The sequence below is a fragment of the Homo sapiens genome, chromosome 12 (assembly GCF_000001405.40).
Source record: "Homo sapiens chromosome 12, GRCh38.p14 Primary Assembly".
NCBI classification, from domain to species: domain Eukaryota; kingdom Metazoa; phylum Chordata; class Mammalia; order Primates; family Hominidae; genus Homo; species Homo sapiens.
This window is the reverse complement of record NC_000012.12, coordinates 52,110,123-52,122,737: the sequence shown is the minus strand read 5'-3', so window position 1 is coordinate 52,122,737 and position 12,615 is coordinate 52,110,123. Positions and strand designations below refer to the sequence as shown.

Genomic DNA, 12,615 nt, shown 5'->3' with positions numbered 1-12,615 from the left:
CTGTCACCACTGTATATGTCCTCTGGTTTATTTCTCCCACTGCTGTTTTGCCACCTCTAGAGCCGTAGATTGCCCCATAAACCTCCTGGCTACTCAGCAGGCTGACACCTTCTCTGCTGGAAAGTGGAAGAAGATGAGTGCCACGGGCTCCCTTTGCCACTGCATCCATTAAATCTCCCGAGGACACACTTACCAGGCATGCACATTTCTTTACTGACATGTTTGAGCAATTTCAAGAGGGAATTATTCCTCTTCTGAGAAAAAACTGTTAAAGTCCCAACTGACTTGGAATTTCCCTTGAGTTTCAAGCAAAAATGTACCTAAAGATCCCGGGCCTTCCCAAGGAAGTGACTCCCTACCCACAGTATCCCCACTCCAGCTGCTCTCGGGGTCTCCCCACCCCCCAGCAACTCCCTCCTTCTCTCCCTGCCCGTCAGGAAACCACCCTGCTCCCAGCCTCCTTCACCTTCACCTTCCTTCATCATCAGCGTCAGATCTGAGTCCTGCGGTTCTAAATAGCACCCCAGGCCTCAGCAAGTGGAGGGTAGGGGAAGAAGAGGCAACTCCTTGTTGCCGGTCCTCAGCAGCACCGTGGGAGGGGGCTTGGAGGGAGAGAGGGGTGGGGTCTTGGAGGGAGAGAGGGGTGGGGGGTCCTGGGGCCACAATGAACCGAATTCTGGCATTTGGTTCCTTCTCAGGACCTCCCACTAGAGGGCGCGACGGTCCCGCCGGTTCCTTGCCAGGTGGCTCCAGCTGCGGCGGACATCAGAGCATCTCCCAGGGACTAGAAGTTCAGACTAATGAGATTGAGAAAAGAGCATTTCCACATTTGCAAGGCGCCTGTGCTGCTCCGGAGGTCCCCATTACTCTGTCCAGAATCCTTTATTGCTTCCTGGTCCCCGAGGGCCTGCTGGAACCAGAATGCGAGAAGGGCTCTGCGCGGTTGGCCTTCCTGGACTCACAGCTTCCCTGTGAAGAACCTAGCGGGCTCTGCAACGCCCTGGTCACCCTTTCAGAGTGTTTGAGAGCTTATATGGGATATGTTTAAGCTGAGACAGGTCCCCAGCCACCCACAGCACGGGTAAGGGAGCATGGGCAGGGGACCCTCGGGGCAAGTGTTCCAGGCCATGCCCAGCCTCAGAGGGCCCTGAGGCTGGCGAGGGCAGCGTGCTCAGAGGAGATGGAGGCCAGTGCGGCTGGAGCTGGGGGGACGGCGAGTGGGGGCCACCACCTCCCCAAACTTCTCCATTAAGTAGCTGTGGGCAGAGACTGTTCCTCCCCGAGGCTGGAGGAGGGAAAGAATGGGGGTGCCTCTCGGATTTTTACCCACTCCTACCTGGGGGCAGGGTTGCTGCTGCCTCCCGGCTAACCACCTGTGGGAAAGTAGACAGATCCTCCCCAGCAACCAGCCACTCCTCCTTTTCCTCCTAGCCAACTGTCACAGGTGTGTGAACCGCAGCAACTCCATCTTGAATAGGGGCTGGGTAAAATGAGGCTGAGACCTAACTGGGCTGCATTCCCAGATGGTTAAGGCATTCTGAGTCACGGGATGAGATAGGAGATCAGCACAAGATACAAGTTGTTCAAGACCTTGATTATAAAACAGGTTGCAGTAAAGGAACCAGCCAAAACCCACAAAACCAAGATGGTGACAAGAGTGACCTCTGGTTGTCCTCACTGCTGTACACCCACGAGCGCCATGACAGTTTACAAATGCCATGGCAATGACAGGAAGTTACTCTGTATGGTCTAAAAAGGGGAGGCATGAATAATCCACCCTTTGTTTGGCACATAATCAAGAAATAACCATAAAAATGGGCAACCAGCAGCCCCCAGGGCTGCTCTGCCTATGGAATAGCCATTCTTTTATTTTTTTACTTTCCCAATAAACTTGCTCTCACTTTACTGTACGGATTCGCCTTGAATTCTTTTTTGTGCAAGATCCAGGAACCCTCTCTTGGGTTCTGGATTGGGACCCCTTTCTGGTAACACAACCACTCCTCCTTTCCTTGGTAACATCCCTAATTTTACTTCTGGTGTACACACCTCCCCAAGCGATCCACGTCTTTGTTGGGAACTGACTCCTCCATGGGCTCTAGGTTGCGCATACAAGGTTCTCGCTCTGTCGCCCAGGCTGGAGTGCAGTGGCGCCATCTCGGCCTACTGCAAGCTCCGCCTCCCGGGTTCACGCCATTCTTCCGCCTCAGCCTCCCGAGTAGCTGGGACTACAGGCGCCCGCCGCCGCACCCGGCTAATTTTTTTTTTTTTTTTTTTTTTTTTTTTTTTTTTTTTTTTTTTGTATTTTTAGTAGAGACGGGGTTTCACCGTGGTCTTGATCTCCTGACCTCGTGATCCGCCCTCCTCGGCCTTCCAAAGTGCTGGGATTACAGGCGTGAGCCTCTGCGCCCGGCCTGATGTAGGCTTCTTAGTTGCTTCCTCGCCCTCCTGGGAGAGCTTCCCAAAGTCTCTCCCTCCCGCCAGGGACCTGCACCAGGTAGCCCAGGCCCTGGGAGCGGCTATACTCTTAGGGCCACACGGGGGCGCCAGCCTCAGGCGGCTGCACCACGCCCGCCTGGAACAGGAGACCCCAACACCCCAGAGCGCAGTCAAACCGCCCTGCACTGGCCAGTTACTCTGGCTGATAAGCCCCCTTCACTCCTTAGCCCCAAGTGAGTGAGGTGCTTCCTCGCAAATGAAAATCTGCGGCCAACCCTGAGTCACTTCTTAAGATGCGGGCTCCCATCAGCTCCCCAACCCCAGCCCCACCCCTGAGTGCCGCCTCCCGAGCTAGGCCTGGAGAGTGCAGACAGGAAGGAAGCGCAGCTGGACCTCACCCAGAGAGGGGGACAGATTATCAGCAGGGTGGGAAGTGCTACAGGGAGCCCTCAAGGGCATCCCGCGTGTGCGGGTGATGCAGGCAGGTGCATGGGGGAGGGTGGGGTGCTACCAAACCCCAAGTGAGCCCTGTTGGAACTGAGCCTGGGGTGAGCCGGTAAACAAAGTGTCGGGAGGCGCTTCAAGCTTCAGGGCCAAGGGCCCCAGAGCATGAAGGTAGAGACAGCCAGGTGGAAGTGGCTGGAGAGGGTGCACATGAGGACAAACAGGAGGAGGGGCAGCAGGAGGGTGAGGTGGTGACAAGGGCGGGGAGGTAACCTGGACCAAGGAGACTGGACTCTAGCAGGAGGGAAATGACCCCCAGGGCGGGCTTAGGCAAAGTAAACATGATCACAGGGCAACATGCTCCCACAGGACTTTCTGCAGTAAGGAAGTGTGGCTATTGAGCCCTTGAAATAATGAGGCTAGTAAGACGCAGGAACTAATTTTTAAACATTATTTCCTTTCAATTAATTTTTTTTTTTTTTGAGACGGAGTCTTGCTTTGTCACCCAGGCTAGAGTGCAGTGGTGCAATCTTGGCTCACCGCAACCTCCACCTCCCGGGTTCAAGCAGTTCTCCTGCCTCAGCCTCCCAAGTAGCTGGGACTACAGGCACGCGACACCACTCCCGGCTAAATTGTGTATCTTTAGTAGAGACGGGGGTTTCACTTTGTTGGCCAGGCTAGTTTCGAACTCCTGACCTCAGGTGATCCACCACCTCAGCCTCCCAAAGTGCTGGGATTACAGGCATGAGCCACTGAGCCTGGCCCCTTTTAATTAATTCAAATGTAAATAGCTGCACCAGTTAGGAGGCTGTGAAGATGGTCCAGGTGAGGGAGGGTAGGGGCCTGAAATGGGGAGGCAAAGAAATGGGGAGGGCATGGACTCTAGGATTGTCAGGGCACTGGCTATTTAATATTTAACTTAACCACTCAGCCAGTACTGAAACAGTTGTTATGGAGGCCTGCGTTCGTGAGACCTGGCATGCCACAAGTGAGTAGAGCCAAGAAATCATGGAGACCCACTGAAAGAGGGGAAGGAATGCTCAGGGCCTTGGAGGTCTCCTGGGGGTCTGGCCGGGGCAATGGGGTGCTTATGTATCATCACTAGGAACAGAAACCCACGATGAATCAGCTTGGAGATGACAAGTGTGGTTTTGAACACATGGAAACTGAGAGGTCTTAGGACATCCCAGTGAAAGCATCTGGTAGGCTGTTCTGTGTATGGCTCTGATGCTCAGGAGGGAACTGAAACTGAAGACAGCCCTGTCAGTCATCAGAGGTCAAAAATCGGCAGCCCATAGGCCAGCTTCAGGTCACAGATGGAGGTTTAGACTGGCTCACACCATTGATCTCCCGAAGTGCTGGGATTACAAGCACTGCGCCTGGCCTCATCCTACCCACCTCTTCTTTTTTTAAAATTTAAGTTTTTCCATTTGCTGTACTTCATGCCAAGTATACACTCCCCTCCTGCCTGTTCCCAAGCCAGGGACCAAGGACTACAGGCCGGTACAGGATTTGCGCTTGGTTAATCAAGCTACAGTGACTTTACATCCAACAGTACCTAACCCGTACACGTTGTTGGGATTGCTGCCAGCTGAGGACAGCTGGTTCACCTGCTTGGACCTGAAAGACGCTTTCTTTCGTATCAGATTAGCTCCCGAGAGCCAGAAGCTGTTTGCCTTTCAGTGGGAAGATCCGGAGTCAGGTATCACTACTCAGTACACTTGGACCCGGCTTCCCCAAGGGTTCCAGAGCTCCCCCACCATCTTCAGGGAGGCGTTGGCTACAGACCTCCAGAAGCTTCCCACCAGAGACCTAGGCTGCGTGTTGCTCCAGTACGTTGATGACCTTTTGCTGAGACACCCCACGGCAGTCAGGTGCGCCAAGGGAACGGATGCCCTACTCCAGCGCCTGGAGGACTGTGGGTATAAGGTGTCCAAGAAAAAAGCTGAGATCTGTCGACAGCAGGTACGTTACTTGGGATTTACTATCCGACACGGGGAATGCAGCCTGGGATCAGAAAGAAAGCAGGTCATTTGCAATCTACTGGAGCCTAAGAGCAGAAGGCAAGTGAGAGAATTCTTAGGAGCTGTGGGGTTTTGTAGACTGTGGATCCCAAACTTTGCAGTATTAGCCAAGCCTTTGTATGAGGTCACAAAGTGGGGGACCGGGAACCTTTTGAATGGGGATCTCAACAACAGCAAGCCTTTCATGAGTTAAAGGAAAAAACTTATGTCAGCCCCAGCCCTGGGGCTACCCGATCTGACAAAGCCTTTTACATTGTATGTGTCAGAGAGAGAAAAGATGGCAGTTGGAGTTTTCATCCAAACTGTGGGGCCCTGGCCGAGGCCAGTGGCCTACCTCTCTAAACAACTAGATGGGGTTCCTAAAGGATGGCCCCTGTGTTTGAGGGCCTTGGCAGCAACTGCCCTGCTAGTACAAGAAGCAAATAAGCTGACTCTTGGGCAAAACCTGAACATAAAGGCTCCCCATGCTGTGTTGACTTTAATGAATACTAAAGGACATCATTGGCTAACGAATGCTAGACTCACCAAGTACCAAAGTTTGCTCTGTGAAAATCTCCGTATAACCATTGAAGTTTGGAACACCCTAAACCCCACCACCTTGCTCCCAGTATCAGAGAGCCCTGTCGGGCATGATTGTGTAGAAGTGTTTGACTCAGTTGACTCTAGTAGATCTGACCTCCGGGACCAGCCTTGGGCATCAGTAGACTGGGAACTACACGTGGACGGGAGCAGCTTCATCAACCTACAAGGAGAGAGATGTGCAGGGTATGCAGTGGTAACCCTGTACACTGTTGTTGAAGCCAGATCGTTGCCCCAGGGCACTTCAGCCCAGAAAGCTGAACCCATTGCTTTAATTTGGGCCTTAGAACTCCATGAAGGTAAGACTGTAAACATTGACACTGATTCTCGGTATGCCTTTTTAACCCTTCAAGTGCATGGAGCATTATAGAAAGAAAACGGCCTATGGAACTCTGGGGGAAAAGACATAAAATATCAACAAGAAATCTTGCAATTATTAGAAGCAGTATGGAAACCCCACAAGGTGGCAGGTATGCATTGCAGAGGACATCAGCGAGCTTCCACCTTGCTGGGTTTGGGGAATTCCCGCGCTGACTCAGAGGCTCGAAAAGCAGCATCTGCCCCCTTCCGGCAATCAGTCACAGCCACTCTGCTCCCTCAAGCACCTGATCTTGTACCTACTTATTCTAAAGAAGAAAAGGACTTTCTCCAGGTAGAGGGAAGGACAAGTGATGGAGGAAGGATGGATTCGGTTACCAGATGGGAGAGTAGCTGTGCCACAGCTGCTAGGAGCTGCAGTTGTACTGGCTGTGCATGAAACCACCCATCTAGGTCAGAGTCACTGGAAAAGTTGTTAGGCTGGTATTTCTACATCTCGCATTTGTCAGCCCTTGCCAAAACGGTGACACAGCGGTGTGTTACCTGCTGACAGCACAATGCGAGGCAAGGTCCAGCCGTTCCGCCCGGCATAAAAGCTTATGGAGCAGCCCCCTTTGAAGATCTCCAGGTAGACTTCACAGAGATGCCAAAGTGTGGAGGTCAGAAGTATTTACTAGTTCTTGGGTGTACCTGCTCTGGGTGGGTGGAGGCTTATCCAACACGAACTAAGAAAGCTCGTGAAGTAACCCGTGTGTTTCTTCGAGATCTGATTCCTAGATTTGGACTGCCCTTACGGATCAGCTCAGATAACGGGCCTGCGTTTGTGGCTGACTTGGTACAGAAGACGGCGAAGGTATCGGGCATCACATGGAAACGGCATGCCGCGTACCAGCCTCAGAGTTCCGGAAAGGTGGAGCGGATGAATCGGACTATCAAAAATAGTATTATTATCTTTCCCACTGGATATTAAAAACAATACCACAAGGGGCATCAAACCACCTGCCAAATTTGAGGGAATGTTATTCTGTCCTCCCCCCGCCCCCGGATATTAGAGACAATAACATAGGGGTAATGTAAACCCACTGCTTTATTGGGAGAAGTATCATCCTCTCCCTTCTTGGATATTAGGAACAATATCACAGTGTGCGTGTACGCCTGTCACAAAATTCAATGGAATGTCATCCTGTGCCTCCCTGGATATGACGAACAATGTCACGGGGGATGTACAACTTCTGAGATATTGGGAGTGATACCATCCTCTCCCCTCTGGAAGTTAGGGACAATATCACAGGGGTAGTGTACACCCTCTGTGATGTTGGGACTAATATCATCCTCCCGTCCCCTGGATATTAAAAACCATATCACAAGGGGTGTACACACACTTCGATATTGGTATTAATACCATCCTCTCCCTCTTTGGATATTCGGTGCAATATTTCAGGTGGGGTATACACCACCAGCAATACTGGAAGTAATATGATTTTCTCCCCCCTGGATATTAGAAACAATATCACAGGGGGTGTGAACAACCCCTGCAATATTTGGAGTAATATCATCGTCTCCCCTCATGAATATTAAGAACAATATCGTAGGGGGGGCATACACCCCCTTTGATGTTTGATATCATCCTCTTCCCCGCTGGATATTAGGAACAATATCAGGAAGGGATGTACAGATCCTGCGACATTTGCTGTCATCTAATTGTCTCTCCCCTAGATATTAGGAAAAATGTAACCGGGGATGTGAACACCCCTGCGATATTGGGAGAGGTCTCATCCTCTCCCCGCTTGGATATTAGGAACAATATCACAGCAGGGGTGTACTGCCTCTGCGTTATTGGGAGTAAAATTATCCTCTCTTCCCCTGGATATTAGGAAGGGTATCAGAGGGGGAGGGTGTACATTCCCTGTGGTATTCAATGTAATCTTATCCTCTCCCTCCCAGGGTATTAAGAACAATATTAGAGGAGGGGTGTACACCCTCTGCGATATTGAGAGTCATATCATCCTCTTTCGCTCTGGATATTACGAACAATATCACAGGGTTGTGTACACCCCCTGTGATACTGGGAGTAATATCATCCTCTCTCCCTCTGGATATTAGGAAGAGTATCACAGGCTGTGTACACCCCCTGCAATATTGGGAGTAGTATCATCCTCTCTCCCTCTGGATATTAGGAAGAGTTTCACAAGGATGTGTGCACCCCCTGCGATATTGGGAGTAATATCATCTTGTCGCCCTCTGGATATTAGGAAGAGTTTCACAGGGGTGTGTACACTCCCTGCAACATGGGGAGTAATATCATCCTGTGCCCCCTGGATGTTAAAAACCAAATCACGGGGGTTGTACACCTGCTGCGATATTGGTAAACGTTACTTCTAGTATCCCACAGAGGGTACACCCTGTGATATTTTTCATAATATCATAGGGAGATATTGCTTCTAATAACACAGTGGGTGTACACCATGTGTGTACACTCTGTGATGTGATAGCTTATATCCTAGGGAGATATTCCTTCTAGTATCACAGTGAGTGTACACCCTGTGATATCATTCGTAATATCCTAGAAAGATGTTGCTGCTAATATCACAGAGGGTGTGCCCCCAGTGACATCATTATTCGTAATATCCTAGGGAGATGTTACTCCTAATGTCACAGGGGTGTACACCCTGTTATATTATTCGTAATATTCTAGGCGGGTGTTACTTTTAAAGTCACAGGGGTGTACACCCTGTGATGTTATTCATAATATCCTAGGAAGAGGTTACTCCTAATACCACATGGGTTATCCTATGAAGAGGTTACTCCTAATATCACACTCCTAATATCACACCCTGTGATAGCATTCAGAATATCCAAAAGGGATGTTACTTTTAATGTCACATGGGGTGTACACCTTTTGATATTATTCGTAAGATCCTAGGGACATATTACTTCAAATATCACATTGGGTGTACACACATGGTGTACACATTATGTGTGAACACCTCCTGTGATATTATTCATAATATCCTAGGAAAATGGGACTCCTAATATCACAGTGAGTGTACACACTGCGATATTATTTGTAATATCCTAGGGGAATATTACTCCTAAACCAAAGGCGTGTGTACCCCCTGTGATATTATTCGTAATACTCTCATACACTCACAGTATATGAGAGGGATATTAGCACTGAAGTCACAATGTGTGTACACCCTGTGATATTATTCACAATATATGAGGGAGGTATAACTTTTACTCATGATGTTCTAGAAAGATGTTACTCCTAATGTCACAGGGGGTGTACACCCTGTGATATTACACAGGCTAAACCCCTGTGACATTATTCGTAATATTTTAGCGGGATGATACTCCTGAAGTCACAGGAGATGTACGCCCTGTGATATTATTCAGAATATTCCAGGGGGATGTTACTCCTAATGTCACAGGTGTGTATACCCTGTGATATTATTCACAATATACTAGCGGGATATTACTACTAATGTCACCATGTGTGTACACCTTCTGATGTTATTCGTAATATCCTGGGAGGATGTTACTCCTAACATCACAGGGGTGTACACCCTGTGTTAATTATTAGTAATATTCTAGGGGGATTTTACTTTTAAAATCACAGGGGGTGTCAACACTGGGATCTTATTCGTAATATCCTAGGAAGATGTTACTCATAATGTCACCTGGGGTGTACACCCTGGGATATTATTTGGAATATCCTAAAGGGATGTTATCTTAATGTCATAGGGTGTGTACACCTTTGATATTATTCGTAATATCCTAAGGAGATATTACTTTAAAAATCACAGTGGGTGTGCACACGTGGTGTATACCCTGTGATATTATTCACAATATATGAAGGAGGTATAACTTTTAATGTCACAGTGGGTGTACACACTGTGATATTATCCGTCATATCCTAGAAGTATATTATTCCTATTGTCACAGGGGTTTAACATCCTGTGAAATTATTTGTAGTAATCCAGGGGGATGATTATCCTAAAGTCACAGGGTGTGTACACCCTGTGATATTATTCATATTATTCTAGGGGGATGTTACTCCTAATGTCGCAGATGTGTATGCGCTGTGATATTATTCACAATATACTAGCTGGATATTGTTACTAATGTCACAATGCGTGTACACCTTGTGATATTATTTGTACTATCCTAAGGGGATGTTACTCCTATTGTCACAGGGGGTGTGCTTTCTGTGCTATGATTCGTAGTATCCCAGGGGGATGTTACTCCTACCATACAAATTGTGTACACTTTGTTATATTATTCATAATATCCTAGAGGGATGTTGATCCCCATGTCACGAGGGTGTACATCCTGTGATGTTATTCTTCACATTCTAGGAAGATGTTAACTCCTAATATCACAGAGGGTGTACAATCTGTGAAGTCATTCATAATAGTTTCAGGGGATGTTACTCCTAATGTCACACGTAGTGTACAAACAGTGATATTATTTGTAAAGTTTTTTTGGATATGTTACTCCTAATATCACAGGGGCTGTACACCCTGTCATATTATTCTTAATATCCTAAAGAAATGTTACCACTAATGTCACAGGCAGTGTACACCGTGTGGTATTATTCCCAATATTGTAGGGTGATGTTACTCCTAATGTCACAGAAGGTGTTCACACTCTGATAACATTCGTAATACCCTAAAGCGATGCTACTACTGATGTCACAATGCAGGTACACAATCTGTTATTATTTCTTATATCCTCAGGCGATGTTACTTCTAATGTCACAGGGGTTGTACATTTTGCGATATTATTCGTAATATTTTAGAGAGATGTTACTCCTAATGTCACAGAGGGTGTACACCTTGTGAAGTTATTCATAATAGTTTTGGGGGCTGTTACTCCTAATGTCACCCGTGGTGTACAAACAGTGATATTATTCATAATATTTTATGGACATGTTACTCCTAATATTGCAGGGGCTGTACACCTTGTAATATTATTCATAATATCCTAAAGAAATGTTACCTCTAATGTCACAGGGGGTGTACACTGTATGATATGGTTCCCCATATTGTAATGGGATGTTACTCCTAATATCACAGGGGGTGTTCACACTGTGGTAATATTCGTAATATCCTAAATGGATGTTACTGCTAATGTCACAACACGTGTACATCCTCTGTATTTGTTCGTTATATCCTTGGGGGAGGTTGCTTCTACTGTCACAAGGGGTGTACTCCCTGTGATAGTATTCATAATATCCTAGGTGGATGTTACTCCTCGTGTCACAGGGGCTGTGCGTTTTGTGATATTATTCACAATATCCTAGAAAGATGTTACTCCCCAGGTACACCCTGTGATATTTTTCGTACTATCCTAGGGGATGTTACTCCAAATGTCACAGAAGGTGTACACTCTGTGATATTACTCGTAATCTGTCAGGGAAATGTACTCCTAATGTCACAGGGCATGTACACCATGTGCGCACAGCCCTTGTGATGTTATTTGTACTATTCTCGAGGGATGTTAATCCTAATATTCCATATGCTGTTAACCATGTGGGAACACCTTTGTGGTATTATTCCTAACATACTAGAAGGATGTAACTCCTAACATCACATGGGGTATACGCCATGTGTGTACACATTCTGTGATATTATTCATAACATCCTAGGGAGATGCTACTCCTAGTTTTACAAGGTGCATACGTTATGTGTGTACACCCCCTCTGATGTTATTCATAATATTCTAGGGGAATGTTGCTGCCAATGTCACAGGGAGAGTACGCCATGTGTATGCAACCCTGGTAATATTATTTCTAATATCTTGGGGGGATGTTGCTCCTAATGTCACCTGGAGTGTACACCATGTATGTACACCTTCTGTGATATTATTCATAAATCACAGAAAAATATTATGCCTAATGTAACAGGATGTGTACACCGTGTGCGTCAACCGCCTTTGATATTATTCATAATATACTAGGGGGATGTGATTTTTAATGTCACAAAGGGTGTACAAAATGTCACAGGGTGTGTATGCCTTATGATATTATTCCTGATATCCAGAAGGATGTTACTCCTAAGGTCACAGGGGGTGTACACCCTTCGATAATATTTGTAGTCTTATAGGGAGATATTCCTGTAAATCTCACAGTGGGTGTACACTACACCCACTGTGAAATTATTTGTAATATCTCAGAGATATTACAGAGTTATAGCTCTCTGTGTTATATTAGAGAGTTACATCTCTCTAAGAAAGTACAAATAATACCACAGTGGGTGTACCTTATGTGTGTACACCCACTGTGATATTATTTGTAATATCCATGGTAAACATTACATCTAATATCACAGTGTACTCCCTTTGATATTTTTCATACTATCATAGGGAGATATTGCTTCTAATATCACAGTGGGTGTACACCATGTGTGTACATTCTGTGATATGATACCTTATATCCTAGAGAGATATTTCTCCGAATATCACAGTGTGTGTACACTTTGTGATATTATTCATAATATCCTAGAAGGATGTTACTCCTAATATGACAGAGGATGTACACCCAGTGATATTCTTCGTAATATCCTAGGGAGATGTTACTCCCAATATCACACGGGGTATACACCCATTATATTTTTTGTAATATTCTAGGGGGATGTTACTTTTAAAGTCACAGGGGGTGTACACCCTGTGATGTTGTTCACAATATCCTAAGAAGATGTTACTCTTAATGTCACATGGGGTGTACAACCTGTGATATTACTCGGAATATCTTATGGGGATGCTACTCCTAATGTCACAGGCTGTGTACACCCTGTGATATTATTCGGAATAT

General features: G+C 46.9%; 1 long non-coding RNA gene across 1 annotated transcript in view, besides 5 other annotated features; it reads left to right on the top strand.

Annotated features, from left to right (window-relative positions):
- Positions 3,609 to 3,658: an enhancer, noted in NCBI's record as "active region_6395". NCBI's record gives its function as "activates an Ori minimal core promoter by ATAC-STARR-seq in GM12878 lymphoblastoid cells {active_cell/tissue: GM12878}" and the evidence as "EXISTENCE:reporter gene assay evidence [ECO:0000049][PMID:35858748]".
- Positions 3,689 to 3,748: an enhancer, noted in NCBI's record as "active region_6394". NCBI's record gives its function as "activates an Ori minimal core promoter by ATAC-STARR-seq in GM12878 lymphoblastoid cells {active_cell/tissue: GM12878}" and the evidence as "EXISTENCE:reporter gene assay evidence [ECO:0000049][PMID:35858748]".
- Positions 3,759 to 3,898: an enhancer, noted in NCBI's record as "active region_6393". NCBI's record gives its function as "activates an Ori minimal core promoter by ATAC-STARR-seq in GM12878 lymphoblastoid cells {active_cell/tissue: GM12878}" and the evidence as "EXISTENCE:reporter gene assay evidence [ECO:0000049][PMID:35858748]".
- Positions 4,219 to 4,458: an enhancer, noted in NCBI's record as "active region_6392". NCBI's record gives its function as "activates an Ori minimal core promoter by ATAC-STARR-seq in GM12878 lymphoblastoid cells {active_cell/tissue: GM12878}" and the evidence as "EXISTENCE:reporter gene assay evidence [ECO:0000049][PMID:35858748]".
- SMIM41-AS1 (SMIM41 antisense RNA 1) overlaps positions 4,520 to 12,615 on the top strand; it is a 29,007-nt gene continuing 20,911 nt past the window's right edge. Inside the window, exon 1 of the long non-coding RNA XR_007063312.1 lies at positions 4,520 to 4,845. This is a non-coding gene — a long non-coding RNA (SMIM41 antisense RNA 1). The remainder of the gene's footprint in view (positions 4,846 to 12,615) is intronic.
- Positions 5,822 to 6,031: an enhancer, noted in NCBI's record as "active region_6391". NCBI's record gives its function as "activates an Ori minimal core promoter by ATAC-STARR-seq in GM12878 lymphoblastoid cells {active_cell/tissue: GM12878}" and the evidence as "EXISTENCE:reporter gene assay evidence [ECO:0000049][PMID:35858748]".